The sequence below is a fragment of the Homo sapiens genome, chromosome 3, assembly GCF_000001405.40.
Source record: "Homo sapiens chromosome 3, GRCh38.p14 Primary Assembly".
Taxonomy (NCBI): domain Eukaryota; kingdom Metazoa; phylum Chordata; class Mammalia; order Primates; family Hominidae; genus Homo; species Homo sapiens.
In genome coordinates this window covers 197,958,165-197,977,685 of record NC_000003.12, presented here as the reverse complement: position 1 = coordinate 197,977,685, position 19,521 = coordinate 197,958,165, and the positions used below count along the sequence as shown (strand labels likewise).

The 19,521-nt window shown below is 40.2% G+C and overlaps 2 protein-coding genes across 12 annotated transcripts in view, besides 3 other annotated features; one reads left to right on the top strand and one right to left on the bottom strand.

Annotated features, from left to right (window-relative positions):
- LMLN (leishmanolysin like peptidase) overlaps positions 1-17,469 on the bottom strand; it is an 83,504-nt gene extending 66,035 nt beyond the window's left edge. For 5 of the 7 annotated variants that reach the window (XR_007095764.1, NM_001136049.3, NM_033029.4 and 2 more), the window contains exons 1-5: positions 17,246-17,469; positions 3,212-3,309; positions 2,614-2,644; positions 1,575-1,657; positions 971-1,088 (exon numbers count right to left, since the gene is read on the bottom strand). Coding sequence is in view for 4 of the 7 variants with exons in the window: in XM_047449155.1 (XP_047305111.1) it covers positions 971-1,088; positions 1,575-1,657; positions 2,614-2,644; positions 3,212-3,309; positions 17,246-17,464 (549 nt within the window). In the remaining 3 variants the exon portion in view is untranslated. The remainder of the gene's footprint in view (positions 1-970; positions 1,089-1,574; positions 1,658-2,613; positions 2,645-3,211; positions 3,310-17,245) is intronic. The other 2 variants (NR_026786.2, NR_026787.2) reach the window with 1 other exon arrangement.
- Positions 9,881-10,081: a silencer, noted in NCBI's record as "peak4998 fragment used in MPRA reporter construct". NCBI's record gives its function as "represses an SCP1 promoter by STARR-seq MPRAs in K562 erythroleukemia cells {active_cell/tissue: K562}" and the evidence as "EXISTENCE:reporter gene assay evidence [ECO:0000049][PMID:32103011]".
- Positions 17,411-17,640: a silencer, noted in NCBI's record as "silent region_15095". NCBI's record gives its function as "represses an Ori minimal core promoter by ATAC-STARR-seq in GM12878 lymphoblastoid cells {active_cell/tissue: GM12878}" and the evidence as "EXISTENCE:reporter gene assay evidence [ECO:0000049][PMID:35858748]".
- DRC9 (dynein regulatory complex subunit 9) overlaps positions 17,509-19,521 on the top strand; it is a 71,101-nt gene continuing 69,088 nt past the window's right edge. For 4 of the 5 annotated variants that reach the window (XR_007095755.1, NM_001323028.2, NM_032263.5 and 1 more), the window contains exons 1-2: positions 17,695-17,841; positions 17,967-18,157. The gene's annotated coding sequence lies outside the window, so the exon portion shown is untranslated. Of the gene's footprint in view, positions 17,665-17,694; positions 17,842-17,966; positions 18,158-19,521 lie in introns of those variants that run through there. The other variant, XM_024453790.2, reaches the window with a different exon arrangement.
- Positions 18,192-18,692: an enhancer, noted in NCBI's record as "H3K4me1 hESC enhancer chr3:197685865-197686365 (GRCh37/hg19 assembly coordinates)". NCBI's record gives its function as "activates a minimal SCP1, AML or CMV promoter by ChIP-STARR-seq in naive H9 embryonic stem cells {active_cell/tissue: H9 hESC(naive)}" and the evidence as "EXISTENCE:reporter gene assay evidence [ECO:0000049][PMID:30033119]".

Sequence of the window (19,521 nt, the reverse complement as noted above, 5' to 3'; positions counted from 1 at the left end):
AACGTGTGTATACTTCCAGATTGTTTGATGATTTTTATATGTATCCAGATTTAACAAGTGTGTGCTTCCAGATTGTTTGATAATTTTTATATGTATCCAGATTTAACGTGTGTATACTTCCAGATGGTTTGATGATTTTTATATGTATCCAGATTTAACGTGTGTATACTTCCAGATTGTTTGATCATTTTTATATGTATCCAGATTTAACGTGTGTGTACTTCCAGATTGTTTGATAATTTTTTATGTATCCAGGTTTAACATGTGTGTACTTCCAGATTGTTTGATGATTTTATATGTACCCAGATTTAACGTGTGTACTTCCAGATTGTTTGATCATTTTTTTATTGTCTGTGTTTCTATACTTTCAAATAAAATGGGCTAACTGCATACTGATTCGCAACATTTTTTTCATGTAAGAGGTTAAACATCTTTCCAAGTCAGTACATAGAGATCTCCTTCACTTTTTAACAACTGCACAGTATTCTACTACGTGGTTATACCATAACTTAACATAAATATACCCTAAATAGGCATATTTATAGTTTTGCAAAGAACACCTTTAAACATATATTACGTAGCCATTAGTATTTTGTGGAATAAATTTCTAGGTTGGGTTGAGGCATACATATTTTTTATCTTAAGAGATGTCAGACTGTCCTTTAACAAACTGAGATATATGCCTTGCTAAAAGATATTTTGGAAGACAAGATAATGTTCTAAGCTAAAGTGATTCAGCAGACCAAGATAAACAGGGGCAAGGAGGCCTGTGGGGAGGAGTGAAGAAAGAAAATACCATTAAACTCACTTGAAAGCTAATGAAAGAATAAAATCAGCATATCTGTGGTTACTTTTTGTAGACCAAGGAAGCTACTAAGCCTTTGAACTTGAATCTGTAAAAATTCTGTGACACTCACAAATTCAAAATCTCCTCAGGTGTAAAAGCACTGCCAAGAGCAGGGTGAAATACCTGGAGATGTTCCTCAGGAACAATAACGGGGCCGCACTTTGTGTGTGCGGCACACTCCCCGGTGCAGTACCTGTGAGGATCGTTTTCCTTCCGGAGGTATTGGTTTGTTGCACATTGTCTTCAGTCCATTTGTACATCAAAGTTTAAATACAAAAAAGAGAATATTTTATAGCAGTTAAAAACATGGAAACCAACTGGTAGCTGCTATATTACTTCATTAATAATGTTACTATTTTAGTCAGGAAAGTAGCTAAGAAAGAATTTGGGTTCTATAGGAAATCCTCTTGATTTGGGTTTTTAAACACCCAAATACTTCATAAAGCCAACACTGTATCCACATGAAAGAGGGAAAAAGGTGATCTGGAGAACAGGGGACAACTACACCCAGAAAAAATTCAGTAGACCATCTCACAATGAAAGGTCAGGGAAAGAATGATTATCCAGCAGGTGCTTTTTTATTCTTTTTAAATACCTTGCAGTTAGGTCCCTAAGAACAAGCATAATAAAATTCTAGTATAAGTTTCATACCTTGCCATGTTCATAGAACGAGAAAGGCAGAGTACTAAACGGCTGAAGAAAATGATCTGTGTTTCATGTGACATACCTGCTAAGTAAGATAGTGCCCGCAGGTCGACGGACCTGAAAAGTCTTCTCTAAATAAGAAATCGCTTGTGGGAAAAGCTTGTTCTAAATAAAAGTTAAAAAAAAAAAGAAACAGAATTATAAGGAAGAGATAAATTATATTTAAAAGAAGCAAACACAGGATAGTAATGAAAAAAAGCTTTATAATTCTGGAATACAGATATTAGTTAGTCAAGGTTGTATGGCAAGGGGTAGGAAGAGAGTAAGTCTAGGAGGAAAAGAATTTCCCCCATTTTCTAGTTCAGCTTGGGAAAACAGCATTAGGCAGAAATTTCCTTCCCTAGCCCCATTTAAATAGAAAGCCAGAAAACATATATCTCAACTATTTTTTATTTTTAATTAAATATTAATTTCCTTCGATACTACACCTTTAACAAAACTGTGATATATCTCAACTATTAATCTAGATTACTATGAATGATGGACTAACTTAGATGATTCCAACACTAAGATAGTTTATGTTAAGAAAATCTTACCTTTAATTAAAGTCATCAATTTCTGTCGCCCATAGTGAACTGGCTTTGTGTGTGTGCATGTGTGCGTGCATGTGCGCATGTGTGTGCGTGCACGTGCGCGTGTGTGTGCATGCGTGCATGTGTGTGTGTCTCCACACAGTTAAAAATCTGATGTGGTTATCAGGTAAATCAATCCTCAGGAAAATAAACATTTCCACCAAGAGAACAGTGTTGTCAATGTGTTTCAAAAATTGTTTTTCACCCTATTCTCTGCATGATTTGCTCCCCAAAAACTTGAGAAAGCAAGCAGAAAAATGAGAAAACTGATTATCAAATTACAAAAAAAGACTAATTTAATGCCCAATACCAACAAAGTTTTCATGAGAGCATCACAAAGACACCTTTTGTGAAATGATCAGCACTTTCACTACCAACACCTTTCATTCAGTCACAAAAGTCATGTATATATTTTTCTTTACTGAAGTAGAATTTCCATGCAATAAAATTTTAAGTGTCCAATTCAAGTTATGAGTATTTATTACATACCTTTACAAGATTCTTTTTCTCAGGGAGCAACCTGAAAATAATGACATAAAAACATAAGGATTATCTCTCAGAGGCATAGCACATGTAATCAAGAAATAACCATAAAAATGGGCAACCAGCAGGCCTTGGGCCTGCTCTGCCTATGGAGCAGCCATTCTTTTATTCCTTTACTTTTCTAATAACCTTGCTTTCACTTTACTCTATGGATTTGCTTCTAATTCTTTCTCATGAGAGATCCAAGAACCCTCTCCTGGAATCTGGGCCAGACCTCTTTCTGGTAACACTAGTACTTATTGAAGAGTACCTTCCAGGTCTGTTACTGTCCACATCCAAGTAGATCCACATTTGTTCTGTTTAAATTATTCATGATTGACCAGGAAAGGAAGATGGTAAAAGAAAATTATTCATAAAGACTTTAATCATATCCCATGGCTTTCATATTTTCAGACTAAAATGCATTTTCAGCTTAATTCCATTTTGAAGCTACACTAGTCCTTAAGTTTTATCTATGGATTCTTAGAACTTCAGGTAACAGACAAAAATATCTTTAACATTTAGATTAATAATGAAAAAGATGACAATACAATGGTGTACTTACTCTTCAACACTTTTATCATAGACAGTCTTGATTCTTAAATGCTCATCAACATCTCTCTTGACCACATGATTTGCCTTAAGATGAACTTTATTTATGACCTGAAAAAAGGAACGGATTTGAAAACTGTTTAAGACATACAGATTAACCCACTGCAATCCAAACTTAAAATTAATGAACTAAATTTCAAGTGTAATACCCAGAGAAAAAGTTCTGTGACCCATATTCCACTGTGTCAGCATTCTTGAACCTCAAAGCTCTCCCAAGCAAGGGCTGCCATTTGGAAGGCAAGAACCATAAATTCAAGTCACATGACTAAATCATTATGGATACAGTAGCTGCCAAAAAGCTTTTAGGGTTCTCTGTCACTTATTTGTAGTGATCTTACATAATTTCTAGTTTAGCCAATTTTGAGTCTTGAGAAAATGACAGGAAGAGACCAAAAGTATCTTCAATTACTTTAAAAGAGGACAAAAATTTATTTATGAAAGAGGTTTCCATTTTGAATTTTTTCTCCAGTTCTCATTTACTATTTACATGATTTTTTCAGGGATGAATAAAAGAAGTCAAGAAAGGTCTCAGCAGTATCAACACTTTAGGAAACTCTTGATGTACAAAAGAAAAAATTGTGTTAGCTTAACTAAAAGTAAGCTGTATACTATCTCACTCATATAATTCCAGCAATGGACAACCACATTTTTATTTTTATACTATTTCTGCAGATGTATACAAGAAAACAGAATTCTATATTTTGTAGAAAACTACGTTTGATCTATTAATATAACATAGTAACAGTCACAGATTTTCACAATACGTATTGCCTGCTCTGCTATGATGGCCTGACACCCTACTTCCAGTATTTTACTCATTCCATTCCAACCTATCTCCAGGTAACAGATTATTTTATGGCCCTTAAAAAACCATCAGAGGCCAGACACGGTGGCTCACGCCTGTAATCCCAGCACTTTGGGACTTTGGGAGGCCGAGGCAGGCAGATCACAAGGTCAGGAGACTGAGACCATCCTGGCTAACATGGTGAAACCCCATCTCTACTAAAAATACAAAAAAATTAGCCGGGCATGGTGGCAGGCGCCTGTAGTCCCAGCTACTTGGGAGGGTGAGGCAGGAGAATTGCTAGAACCCAGGAGGTGGAGCTTGCAGTGAGCCGAGATTTTGTCACTGCACTCCAGCCTGGGCAACAGAGCAAGACTCCGTCTCAAAAAAAAAAAAAAATCAGAAATGTCTGAGCACAGCAAATGGATATGGTACATTTTAGCAATCCATTACATGACTAACCTCCCCACAGATAACACATTACAAAGTCCGGACAAAATATACTGTCTGACAGTATTTTGGGGAGGGAGAAAGACAGAATCTGGAAGAATCTACTCTTGGAATACAGGAATTGTATCTCTGAGATTTGCAAGTCTAACTTTGGCTTGAGAGCACTACCTAATCTGTGTCTCTTGGAGTGGCAGGAAGTCAGAGCCTCACTGGCTTGAGGAGCTACAGCAAAATGTTCAGAACTTGTATCACCAGAAAATTAGAAGTTAGAGAGGAAATCTTGCAAGAGAAGAAGCCACAGAAGGTACCCCAAAATCTGCATATGAAACCCAGTCAAATATTTGACTGACCACTAAATTCCTTGGCTGACAACGAAATTACATATGTATGCGATAAAACCCAGCAAAGAATAAATGTTGCCAACAACAGGAGATAAGAGTTTGGAATTTTGAATACAGTTAAGTTAAACGCCAGCTACAAAAAAAAAAAAATTATTCAGAGAAATACAACAGAATCCAGACTTTACAATATATTATCTATGGTGTCCATTATTTAATAAAAAATCAGCAGCAATGAGAACAAAATGGGAAAATGAGATCCACAATGGGGGAAAAAGCAGGGAATAGAAACAGACCCTAAGAGGACCTGAATTTAAACAACTAGTTTAATGCAGCTGAAATGTGTTCAGGAACTTAAAAGAAAACATACACATAATGAGTAAGCAGATAGTGAACCTCAGAAGAGACACTATGAAAAGAACCAAAGAAAAAAGAGCCAAATGGAAATTCTAGAGCTTAAAAGTATAACAATTAAAATGAAAAATTCATTGGGGCCGGACACGGTGGCTCATGCCTGTAATCCCAGCACTTTGGGAGGCTGAGGTGGGTGGATCACTTGAGGTCAGGAGTTCCAGACCAGCCTGGCCAACATGGTGAGACCCTGTCTCCACTAAAAATACAAAAATTAGCCAGGCGTGGTGGTGCACACCTGTAATCCCAGCACTCCAGAGGCTGAGGCAGGAGAACTGCTTGAACTCGGGAGACGGTGGTTGCAGTGAGCCAAGACTGCACCATCACCCTACAGCCTGGGTGACAGAGCAAGACAGTCTCAAAAAAAAAAATTCACTAGAAAGAATTAAAAGAAGATTGGAGATGGCAGAAGCATCAGTGAACTTGAAGATAGATCTAGACATTATCCAATCCGAAGAAGAGAAATGAAAAAGACTAAAAAAAAAAAAAAAAAAAAAAAAGAACAGAGACTCAGAGAATGGGTACCAAGCAGTCTAGCAGATAGGTAATTAGAGTCCTATAAGGACAGGAGAAAATATGAGACAGAATATATATTTGAAAGAAATAACAGCTAAAAAATTTCAAATTTGGTGAAAGACATCAACTTACAGATCCAAGAAGTTCACTAAACCTCAAGCAGGATAAAAAACAAACAAGGCTGGGCGTGGTGGTTCATGCCTGTAATCCCAGCTCCTCAGGAAGCTGAGGCATGAGAATCACTTGAACCCGGGAGGCGGAGGTTTCAGTGAGCCAAGATCGTGCCACTGCACTCCAGCCTGGGCAACAGAGTGAGACTTTGTCCCCAAAAACAAACAAACAACAACCAGGTACATCATAGGCAAACTTGTGACATCTAAAAATAAAGATAAAATATTGAAAGCAATGAGAGAAAAACAACACATTTTATATGGTTTGGCTCTGCATCCCCAGCCAAATTGCATCTTAAATTGTAATCCCACATGTCAAGGGAAGGAGGTGACTGGATCATGGGGGTGTTTCCCCATGCTGTTCTCATGATAGTGAGTTCTCACAAGATCTGATGGTTTTATAAGCAAGCCTCTGGCATTTCCCCTGCTTGTACTTCTCTCTCCTGCCACCATGTAAAGAAGGTCCTTGCTTCTCCTTCATCTTCCACCATGATTGTAAGTTTCCTGAGGCCTCCCCAGCCATGTGGAACTGTAAACCACTTTCCTTTATAAATTACCCAGTCTCAGGTAGTATCTTTATAGCAGTGTGAGAACTAATACAACATTATACATAGGAAGGGAAGAGAAGTACGAATGGCATTGACTTTCTGTGAAGAACAATAAAGAACAGAAGACAATGAAATAAACAGGAAAGGGCTAAAATAAAGAAATTCAACACAGAAGTCTATATCCAATGAAAGTACCCTTCAAAAATGAAGAGGAAATAAAGACATTTCACATACATCTGAGAAAACTGATCACCAGCAGACCTACACTACAGGAAATGCTAAAAGAAGTTATTCGTGGGAATGGAAATAACACAAAAGGGTAACCTGTTTCTGTAGGAAGAAATAAAAGCTATTGGAAATGGTAAATACGTGAATAGATATGAAAGACTATTGTGCAGAAGAGTCAACACAGCAGGTCAGAGATTGCTGCTCTCTGTAGGAAGTCCTGCTTGCAAGGTTGACCTTTTGCTGGCATCTAGAAGTGTAATTTAAAACTTCACTAGGTTATAAGGATGGCTCATTGTGTCTAAACTATTTGCAGAAACAATATGGTTTATGTTGAACATTTGCTTGCTTCTGGAGTCTGAAATTTCAGTGGCTGAAATTTTGTCTACGTGACCAGCCTCCAATAAAAACCCTGGACTCTAAGAATCAGGTAATCTTCCCTGGTAGACCACACTTTGTGCACGCTGTCACAACTCACTGCTGAAGGAATTAAGCAGGTCCTAAGTGACTCTACTAGGAGAGGACTCTTGGAAGTTTTTGCCTAATTTCCTCTAGTCTTTGTCCCATGATCCTTTTCCCTTTGCTGATTTTACTTTGTATGCCTTCACTGTAATAAATCTCAGCTGTGAGTATGACGACAAGCTGAATCTAGCGAGGCCACCTAGCAATCACCAAACCTGGAGTGGTCTTGGGAATCCTCAACACAATTATACACACTTCTTTTCTTCTGTTAATTTCTTTGGAGACAAATAAATATTTAAAGCAAAAATTGTAAAATTTTTAATTGTGAAGTTTATTTTTTTTATTTATTTTATTTATTTATTTTGGGTTTTTTTGAGACAGTCTCTCTCTATTGCCCAGGCTGGAGTGCAGTGGTACAATCTTGGCTCACTGCAACCTCCGCCTCCTGGGTTCAAGCAATTCTCCTGCCTCAGCCTCCTGAGTAGCAGGGATTACAGACACCTGCCACCATGCCCAGCTAATTTTTGTACTTTTGTAATTTTAGTAGAGACAGGGTTTCACCACGTTGGCCAGGCTGGTCTTGAATTCCTGACCTCAGGTGATCCGCCAGCCTCGGCCTCCCAAAGTGCTGGGATTACAAGCATGAGCCACTGTGCTGGCCTAATTGTGAGGTTTAAAATATATAAAGAAGTCATATATTAATATATTTACAATATTATATTACAACAACAGCAAAATGAATGAAATTATGCTGTTGAAAATGTCCCATATTTAACATGACTATTTTAAATAGATACCATAAGTACACTACATATATTGTAGTCACTGGAGCAAACACTCAATATTTTGTGTTGTACATTCTGCTTCAGTGCGTGTGGGACATTCACCTAGCTAGATCATATTTTGGGCCATAAAACAAACTTTAAGACATAAAAGAACTGGTAAAAAGGATGCTCTCTATCAATAACAAAATTCGACTAGAATGCAATTTCAGAACAATATCTGGGAAAATCCCCAAATACTTTTGAAAAAATCAAACAACAAACTTCTAAATAACCCTTAGTTAGTAGAGAAAATTACAAGGGAAATTAGAAAATAGAAGTAAATGAAAATAAAATTACAAGTTAATATTTGTGGGATACAGCTAAAGGAGTATTTAGAGGAAACTGATAGCTTTAAATGCCTATTTTAGAAAAAAGATCTCAAATTCATGATCTAAGGTTCCACCTTAAGATACTAAAAAAAATATATATATATTAAACTCAAAGAAAGCACTAAGGCTGGCATGGTGGCTCATACCTATAATCCCAGCACTTTGGGAGGCTAAGGTGGGAGGATTGCTTGAGCTCAGGAGTTCAAGGCTGCAGTGAGCAGTGATCGTGCTATTGCACTTCAAACTAGGCAACAGAGTGAGACCCTATCTCAAAAAAAAAAAAGACAGAGAGAATACAAACTACCAATGTCAGAAACTACACAGAAGATATCACTACAGACTTTCCAGCAATTTAGAGATGATCATAAAGGAATGTTATGAAAAACTTCATGTCCATAAATTTGACAACTTAAATGAAGTGAAATTCTTTGAGAGACATAACTTAATAAAACACTGTTAAGAAATAAATAACCTGAATAGTCCAATATCAAAGTTTATGAGTTCATAGTTTATGACTTTCAAAAAAGAAAATTCCAGACTGAGATGGCTTAATTAGTGAATTCTACTAAACATTTAAGGAAGAAACAACATTGATTCTACAGAGACTCTTCCTGAATATAGAAGAAAATGGGACATGTCCCAACTCATGCTATGAGACCAGCATTATCCTGATACCAAACCTGTGTTGCAGGAAGTCAGGGACCCTGAACGGAGGGACCGGCTGGAGGCGCGGCAGAGGAACATAAATTGTGAAGATTTCATTTTAATATGGACACATACAGTTCCCAAAATTAATACTTTTATAATTTCGTATGCCTGTCTTTACTGCAATCTCTGAACATAAATTGTGAAGATTTCATGGACATTTATCAGTTCCCAAATAATACTCTTACAATTTCTTTTCTTTTTTTTTTTGAGACAGAGTCTTGCTCTGTTACCCAGGCTGGAGTACAGTGGTGCAATCTCAGCTCACTGCAAGCTCACACCATTCTCCTGCCTCAGCCTCCCAAGTAGCTGGGACTACAGGTGCCTGCCACCACACCCAGCTAATTTTTTTTTTTTATTTTTAGTACAGACGGGGTTTCACCGTGTTAGCCAGGATGGTTTCGATCTCCTGACCTCGTGATCCGCCCGCCTCGGCCTCCCAAATTGCTGGGATTACAGGCATAAGCCACCACGCCCAGTGTACTCTTATAACTTCTTACGCCTGTCTTACTTTAATCTCTTAATCTTGTTATCTTCCTAAGCTGAGGATGTACATCACCTCAGGACCACTGTGATAATTGTATCTAACTGTATAAATTGATTGTAAAACATGTGTGTTTGAACAATATGAAATCAGTGCACCTTGAAAAAGAACAGAATAACAGCAATTTTAGGGAACAAGGGAAGACAACCATAAGGTGTGACTGCCTAAGGAGTTGGGCAGAATACAGCCATATTTTTCTTGTTGCAGAGAGTCTATAAATGGATGTGCAAGTAGGGAAGATATCGCTAAATTCTTTTCCCAGCAATGAATATTTAAGACCCTGGGAAAGGAATGCATTCCTTGGGGGAGGTCTATAAATGGCCACTCTGGAAGTGTCTGTCTTATGTGGTTGAGATAAGGACTGAAATATGCCCTGGTCTCCTGCAGTACCCTCAGGGTTATTAGGGTGGGGAAAAAACCCCACCCTGGTGAATTTGAGGTCAGACCGGTTCTCTGCTCTCAAACCCTGTTTTCTGTTGTTTAAGATGTTTATCAAGACAATACGTGCACTGCTGAACACAGACCCTTATCAGGAGTTTTTGATTTCGCCCTTGGCCTTGTGATCTTTGCTTTGCCCTTTGCCTTGTGGTCTTTACTGGCCTCAGAAGCATGTGATCTTTGTTCTCCTTTTTGCTGTTTGAAGCATGTGATCTTTGTGACCTACTCCCTCTTCGTACACCCCCTCCCCTTTTAAAGTCCTTAATAAAAACCTGCTGCTTTTGCGGCTCAGGCGGGCATCACGGTCCTACTGATAGGTGATGTCATCCCTGGAGGCCCAGCTGTAAAATTCCACTCTTTGTACTCTTTCTCTGTATTTCTCAGCTGGCTGACACTTAGGGAAAATAGAAAGAACCTACTTTGAAATATTGGGGGCGGGTTCCCCCGATAAACCTGAAGTTATTATTAGAGAGGAAAAGAAAACTACAGACCAGTATCCTTGCAGGTAGTTGGTAAAAAACCATAAATATAAAATTTAAAAAATAAAATTAAAAAAACTACAGACCAATATCCCTTATTAATATAGATGTAAATGTGCAGTGGCTCACACTTACAATCCCAGAGCTTTGGGAGGCCAAGGTAGGAAGACTCCTTGGGCCCAGTGGCTCCAGACGAGACTGGGAAACACAGCAAGAGCCCATATCCACTAAACATGAAAATAAATGAACCAGGTGTGGTGGCTCTCACCTGTAATCCTAGCTAACTGGGAGGCTGAGGCAGGAGGACTGCTTAAGCCAAGTCATTTAAGGCTGTATAGTGAGCTATGATTGTGCCACTATACTCCAGCCTGGATGACAGAGTAACACCCTGTCTCTAAAAAAATAAAAATACATAGATGTAAAATCATCAACAAAATATGAGCAACTCAAACCCAGCAAAATGTAAAAAGGGTAATAAATCATCACCAAGTGAGGTTCATCTCAAGAATGCAAGGCTGATTTGACATTCAAAAAAAATCAATCAATGTAACTCATAATATCAACAGAGTAAAGAAGAAAAGCCACATGATTGTATCAACTGGTGCAGGAAAGACAGTTAACAAAATTCAACATCCATCCATGATTAAAAAAAAAAAAAACTCTTAGAAAACTAGGTATAGAAGGGAATTTTCTTAATTTTATAAAGCATACCTACCCAAAAACTCCACAATTAATATTTTTAACAGTGGAAGACAATGTTTTCCCTCTAAGATCAGAAACAAGACAAGGATGTCTACTCTCACCACTCTTATTCAACATCATGCCCCAGACAGTGTGATAATATTAACATTAAAGATGTAATAGGCCAGGTGCAGTGGCTCATGCCTGTAATCCCAACACTTTGGGAGGCTGAGGCGGGTGGATCACTTGAGGTCAGGAGTTTGAGACTAGCCTGGCTAACATGGCGAAACTTGTCTCTACTAAAAATACAAAAATTAGCCGGGCATGATGGCAGGTGCCTGTAATCCCAGCTACTCTGGAGGCTGAGGCAGGAGAATTGCTTGAACCCAGGAGGCAGAGGTTGCAGTGAGCCAAGATTGTGTCACTGCACTCCAGCCTGGGCAACGGAGAGAGACTCTGTCTCAAAAATAAAAACATGCAATAAACAAAAGATATATGTTGTAATGCCTAAAATGCACAAGCACACACACATACACACAGGTAAATGTAGGCAACTGAAAAGATACACATGTAAGCTTGAACCACAAGCAAGCTAAATACACCTATTTTCTCCTGTATTAATACAGTCTTTATTAGGCTAGAACACAGTGGTGCCAACCTGGCTCACTGCAGCCTTCACCTCCTGGGCTCAAGTGATTCCCCCACCTCAGCCCCACCAAGTAGGTGGGACTACAGGTGTACAACACCACACCCAACTAATTTTTGTATTTTTTGTAGACACGGGGTTTCACTAAGTTGCCCAGGCTGGTCTTGAACTCCTGAGCTCAAGCGATTTGCCATCCCGGCCTCCAAAAGAGCTAGACTTATAGGCATGAGTGACTGTACTTGGCCAATAGTTTTTAATAGAGAAAATCTGAAGTAAAGTATCAATCACCTCAGCTTATTAACATGTATAGAAATCTATATTCAATAACTACAGAATAGGCCAGGTACAGTGACTCATGTCTATAATCCCAGCACTTTGGGAGGCCAAGGCAGGAGGATTGCTTGAGTCCAGGAGCTCAAGACCAGCCCGGGCAACATACTGAGATCCCATCTCTAAAACAATAAAATAAAAAAAAACTATAGAATATATATTCTTCACAAGTACACGTGAAAAATTAAACAGGATAGATCATATTCTAAACCATAAATAAAATAATCTCAGCCAGGTGCAGTGGCTCACGCTTGTAATCCCAGCACTTTGGGAGGCTGAAGCAGGAGGATTGCTTGAAACTGGGAGTTCAAGACCAATCTGGGCAACACAGCAAGACTCTGTCTCTACAAAAATAAAAATAAAAAATGTGCCAGGTGTGGTGGCATGTGGCTGAAGTCCTAGCTCCTCATAAGGTTGAGGCGGGGAGACTGCTTGAACACAGGAGTTCGAGGTGGCAGTGAGCTATGATCATATCACTGCACTCCAGCCTGGGTGACAGAGGGACACCTTGTCTCTTTCTTTCTTTTTTTTTTTTTTTTTGAGACAGAGTTTCGCTCTTGTCGCCCAGGCTGGAATGCAGTGGCACAATCTCAGCTCACTACAAACTCCACCTCCTGAATTCAAGCAATTCTCCTGCCTCAGCCTCCAGAGTAGCTGGGATTAAAAGTGCCCGCCACCATACCTGGTTAATTTTTGTATTTTTAGTAGAGACAGGTCTCGCCATGTTGGCCAGGGTGGTCTCAAACTCCTGACCTAAGGTGATCCACCCACCTCGGCCTCCCAAAGTGCTGGGATTACAGGCATGAGCCACTGCACCCGACCAAGACCCTGTCTCTTAAAAAACTTTTTTAGGCCGGGCGTGGTGGCTCACGCCTGTAATCCCAGCACTTTGGGAGGCCAGGGCAGGCAGATTACAAGGTCAAGAGATCAAAACCATCCTGGCCAACATGGTGAAACCCCATCTCCACTAAAAATACAAAAATTAGCTGGGTGTGGTGGCGTGCACCTGTAGTCCCAACTACTCAGGAGGCTGAGGCAGGGTAATAGCTTGAACCCAGGAAGCCGAGGTTGCTCTGCTGAGATTGCGCCACTGCACTCCAGCCTGGGCAACAGAGCAAGACTCTGTCTCAAAAAAAAAAAACAAAAAACAAAAAACAAAAAAAAAATTTTAACCTAAATGATAATTAAAATGCAAAGTGTCAAAATTTGTGAAGAGCAGCTAAAGTTGTACTTAGAAATTTATATCTTTGAATGTTTACATTAGAAGGAAAAAAAGGTTAAAAAACAGTCATCTAAGTTTCCGCCTAACAATATGAGCAAACTAAATCCACAATAAGTAGAAAAAGGAAATAACAAAGAACAGAAAACAATGAAATAGAAACAAACATTAAAGAAAATTACCAAAGCCAACATGACCAAGTAAGGTTTATCCCAAAAAAGCAACGTTGATTTACTATTGGAAAATGCAATGTAATCTACCACATAACAGTTCATAAAGTGAGAAACTATATGATTATCTCAATAATTACCAGAAAAAACAAAAAGCATTTGACAAAATTTGTCCCCATTCAGGATAAAAACCCTCGGGAAACCAGAAACCAAAGGGAGCTTTCTCAATCTGATAAAGGGAACTACAAAAAAATGTAAAGTTAACATCATACTTAATGGTCAGAGACTGGTCCTAAGATCAGGAACAAATGGCAAGGAGGCGTGCTATCTCACTTTTGCTCAGCCTGGAACTGCCTGTCCTCACCAGAGCAATAAGGGGGAAAAAATACATAAATGATACAAAACTACAACAACAAAAATTGTTCCTATTTATAGTTAATACATTGCTAACATCAAAAATTGTAAGGGAGGAAACCCTAGTAGAATAAATAAGTTTAGCTAGGTCTCAGAAGACAAGGTTAATATACAAAAATTATTTCTACCTACTAGCAGTGTATTTTTACATACTAGCAGCAAACAACTGGAAAACTTTAACCATAATTCCACTGACAATGGCATCAAAAAATAAAAGACTTAGGAAAACATTTAACAAAAAACATGCAAGATCTGGCTGGGCACGGCGGCTCATGCCTGTAATCCTGGCACTTTGGGAGGTCGAGGCAGGAGGATCGCCTAAGGCCAGGAGTTCAAAACCCACCTGGACTCTGTCTCAACAAAAAATAAAAAATTAGCCAAGTGTAGTGGCGCATACTTGGGAGTCCCAGCTACTTGGGAGATTAAGGCAGAAGGATCATTTGAGCCCAGGAGTTCAAGCCTGCTGTGAGCTATGATTCTGCCACTGCACTCCAGCCTGAGTGACAGAGCAAGACTGTCTCAAAACAAAACAAAAAAAAAAAAGAGAGAGAAAAGAAAACAGAAGAAAAAATGCAAGATCTATACATTTTTGCTGAGAAAAATTATGCATCACCTCAATAAATGGAGAAACATACATTATGTTCATGGATTGAAAGACTTGATACTGTTAGATGTCAATTATCTCCAAATCATCTATAGAGTAAATGCAATCCCAATCATAAACCCATCAGGCTTTTTTGAAGAAACTGAGAAGCTGACTCTAAAATTTATATGGATCTGTCTTTGAGCCTCCCCCTGCCAAAAAATAAATAAATTTATATGGAAATATAAAAGCCTTAAAATAGCCAAAATCATTTTGAAAAGGAAGAACAAAGCAGGAATGCTTACAATAACAATACTGTCTGATTTCAATATTTATTACAGAGGTACATAATCCAGGCAACTGAATACCCATATGGGGCAAAAAAAAAAAAAAAGGATATTGATCCCCTATCTCACATCATATATAAAAATTAATTTCAGATGAATCATAATCCTAAAAGTGAAGGCTTCTAGAACACAGGAGAATATTTTTATGACCTAGGGGGTATTTAAAGATTTCTTAGAAAGGACATCTGTTGGTGAGGATATGCAGCAACCATAACTAATATTTTGTTGATGGGGGTGTAAAATGGTAGAGTATTTTGGAGAAAGGGTTAGTATTTTTTATAAACATTCACCTACCCTTGACCCAGTAATTTCACCCCTAGGTATTTATCCAAGAACAATGAAAACATATATCCACAAAAATTACTGTACAAGAATATTGACAGCAGCTTTATTTATAATAGCTAAAATCTGGAAGAAACCAAAATACCCATCTTTGAACAAGATAACGGAAAAACAAATTGTGATATAAGTATTCAATGGAATACTCAGCAATTCAAAGGAATAAATTACTATCACATACAACACGAATCTCACAGACATAATGCTGAGCAGATGCCAAATACAGAGGAGTACATACCATATAATTCCATTCAATACACGAAGCTCTAGAATTGGCCAAACTAATCTAGTATTTAAAAAAAAAACAATTAGAAAACTAGTTGCCTGGGGTGGGCAGGAGACTGGCACAGGACAGGAGGGAACGTCTGGAGATGTGGGAACGTTCTATGTTGTGATGGGTTGTATGCTTTATGTGGATGTGCATGGATACATTTGTGGCATTTCAATATATGTAAATTTTACCAAAAAACTTCAAAAGAACAGTAACTCAAGTAGGGGGCTGCGGAATGGCTGAAAGTATATGAAACAAGAATGGCGGAACCTTAAAGCTAGGTGTTAAAGCTAGGTGATGGGTCCATGCGGGTTCATTAAATTATTCTGATGTTGTTTGTACCGGCGTAATAAAAGGTAAAAACAAAACTTACAGGCTTTAGTTGAGAACCAGTTAAAAAGTAAAACTGTTTTGTAGCTCCCCAACACCACCAAAACCAAAAAAGTTATGTAATTTCCTGTAGCATTGAACAGAGGTATAGTCATTAGCGTAACTACAGTGAACACTGTAGCTCCTGGCTATACTCCGTGTCCAGGTTAAAACAAGGAGAATAGTGAGGACGACAGGGTATTTATATACTCTATGAGGAACTAGCGAAACGTATTAGGGACCAGGACTCTTTCTCTTATTTTAATCCAAATTAAAAGAGAGAAGTGCAGGGTTTTGTGGGAAATTTTTTTTAAAGAATTCAGCGAAAATGCAGCATGATAAAAGCTGCAAAAAAGCTATAAACTCCGAAGTTAATATTTTGGCTCACTTGGTTATGAAGAGTATGCATGTAACATTTTGGGAAATTACCATAAAAATGAGTGTCTTTAGATTTCTGGGCTGAATTGAACATGTGTAGGTGTATCAGCATGCAGCCCTGCCCCAGGTACTCTCCCTTTCTCAAAGAATATGGATTATCGTGGACCCACCTCTGACCTAAATACTGTGAAGGAATCAAAGTATGAAACACAAACCTTATCCCACGGAACCTTATAATCTAACTGCAAAGGCAAGATACGCCTAAAAAATAAGCCATTATCCCATAGCAGTACTTGGTTAAATGCCAGGAGGGAGTACAGACACGATGTACTTTTTAATGAAAAGAATATTGCGCTGTGGTGGTTTCAGCAGGCTGCCTTGAGGTTAGGGAATTTGAAATGAGACAAAGAATTTAAGCAGAGAGAAAAATGGGATGGGAGGCGGGCAGGCACTTCCAGAGCAGAGGAACCGGGTAAAGCAAACAAAGTGACGACATAACGTGAAAAGAAACCTGAATTTTGTCTCCAGTGAGCCCCCAACGTCCCACCAACGCCTCTATCTGGCTCTCCGTTCAATGTCTTCCCGAAACTTCAGGTCAGCGGTTCCTAAAGTGGTCCCCGGACAAGCATATCTCACCAACCAGCTGGGAACGTAAACTGTCAACTCTGGGGACTCATCCCAGACCTACTGAGTCACTAAGTGGGGGACTGAGGGCGGCAATCCGTGTTGTACCATGTGCGTCGGGTGACTGTGATGCACGCTCAAGTTTGAAAACCACTCCTCGAGGGCTACTGCTAAGCACAACCCTCCGCACAGAAGTGATACTGTTCTGAGCGCCTAACAGCCAACTTGCAGGGTGTAGGGAGCTGAGAGCGGGTCCCAGGCCTGTAAGAGTCAGGCTCTGCCCCAATTTCGCTTTCTCATCCAGGACACCTTCTCCCAGTCACTATCTCCTACGCCTGCTCCTTCTGGGTGACTTTACCCTGAGAGGGCCCGCTCCCGCCCATGTCGCCCTACCTCAGTGTCAGAGGGGACGTGGTGCCGGCAGGGAGGGGAACTGCCCAAGGAGACGGGAGTAGATGTGGCGCTGGCCCGGAGCCCGCCCAACAGGAGTAAAACGCTTCGGACCCACACAGACCCGCTCCAGCGCCACCGGCTCCGGCCCGGGCCTGAGCCCGAGTAACCCACTCCTCCGCCCCATTCGGCCGCCATCTTCGGGCCGAGCGTCGTTACCATGGAGTGCGTGACGCCTCTGCGCCCGCGCCGGCCCCGCCCCTCGCCGCTGGGGGTAGACGGAGGGCCCAGCCGGCGGAAAGGCGCTTTCCGATTGGACAGCGTCACCCGCTAGAAGTTCGCCGCAGAAGATGAGGGCGGCGATCACGTCCATCGCGTCTCGTGGCGCGAAGCCGGCCAATAAATGCTGTTTGGAGGCCCACGTGAGTGGGGCTGTGGGAGGAAGAAAGGCTAGCGGGCGTTGGCCGTATGTGGGTGTCTTGAGGCAGTTTTTCAGTTCTTTCATTTACCAAAGTGACATGCACCTACTAGGTGCCAGGTGTTTAGACGTACATACAACCCTCTGCAAAATCTTTCAGTGTAGTCCTCTGTATGAAAAGGTGAGTGGAATACTTTCATTTACTTATCCTGAGTCACCAACTTTAGGCCCATTACTTAACTAACGCCATTTCCTATAAAAATCTATGATACACCGTTTACTGTTTTACTCAACTCCATCTTTTAGTTTCCAGCCAAGAATTGCCACTGCACCTGAGATAAGGGGGATCCTGGCCATTAAGGAAACCTTGCCTTCGAAACTGAGCCGTGAGGAACTATACAAAATGGGAAATTGGGACAAATCCCAGTGGCTCATGACACTAAGAAGTAAAATTACGAACTCACTGAGCTGGAAGTCATTCAACGGGAATTGAATAGGTAAGCTACTATACTGGGAAATGAAGGAGTAGGAAAGAAGGAAAACCTCAAGTTACAAACTATGGGTGGAGATTCAGCTACGAGGATGGGGTGGTGTTTTAAGTATTACCATTTTACAAGTAAATACTCACTAAATGTGTGTATCATCCCACAACTAGTGGAAGGTGGGATTCCAAACCACATTTGTAACTTAGGAAACGTGCCCTTTCCACTACAATACCACAAATAAATTGCTATTGTGAATAAAGAATGGAACCAGTCATCCTAAGCTCCTGGCTGTAACAATAGTGTTATGCTGAGGAAAGGCTGTTTCTTTTTTTTTTGAGACGGAGTTTCACTCGTCGCCCAGGCTGGAGTGCAGTGACACAATCTCGGCTCAATGCAACCTCTGCCTCCCGGGATCAAGCTATTCCCCTGCCTCAGCCTCCCGAGTAGCCGGGATTACAGGCACCCGCCACCACGCCCGGCCAATTTTTATGTTTTTAGTAGAGACGTAGTTTCACCACGTTGGCCAGGCTGGTCTCAACCTCATGACCTCAGGTGATCCGCCCGCCTCCGCCTCCCAAAGTGTTGGGATTACAGGCGTGAGCCACCGCGCCCAGCCAGGAGGCAAAGCTGTTTCAATGGTGTAGTGGACAAGTTACCAGCCACGCAAGCCCTTTCCTGTAAACCACAGGACTCCTCCTTTGGCAACGGTGACTTGAGTACTTTTGACTTAATTTCCATATGGGAGGAGAAAAACATAAAAACATACATTTATTATTTACAAATGCTGCATCATCTCAGTAAGGAAGAGCATGTATTTGCTTTTGAGTCTCATTTGCCATTGCACATGTAAGTTACTCGAGTTAAAGTCTCAACCGTTTGTTTTCCCCCGCTTTGCTCAGATGCCTACCACTTACCGTGTGTCTGTTCCACTCAGAATACCATCCACTTCTCCATATGCCTAACCCAGACCTGAAATACCCATCTGTCTTCATGGATATGTCCACAGGTTAACATCTTACAGCTTCCTCAAATTCAACTTTAGCTCCTCCCACAAAACCATCTCCTGATTCCCCAACTTTGTAAATGCACCATTATCCATCCAGCCCCCAAAGCCAGAAACATGTTAGAATTCTCCATTTGAGACTGAAAAGCCCACCTAATTTTCCCTTGTTTATGCTGGGATGCCATTGGGATTTGAAATAATCTGAGCTGGTGGCTCATATCTGTAATCCCAGTACTTTAGGAGAACAAGGCAGGGGGATCACTTGAGGCCAGGAATCGAGACCAGCCTGGGACCCCGAAAAAACATTTTAATTGGCTGGACGTGCCTGGCATGCACCAGATTCTCTGGAGGTTGTGGGCAGGGGATTGTCTGA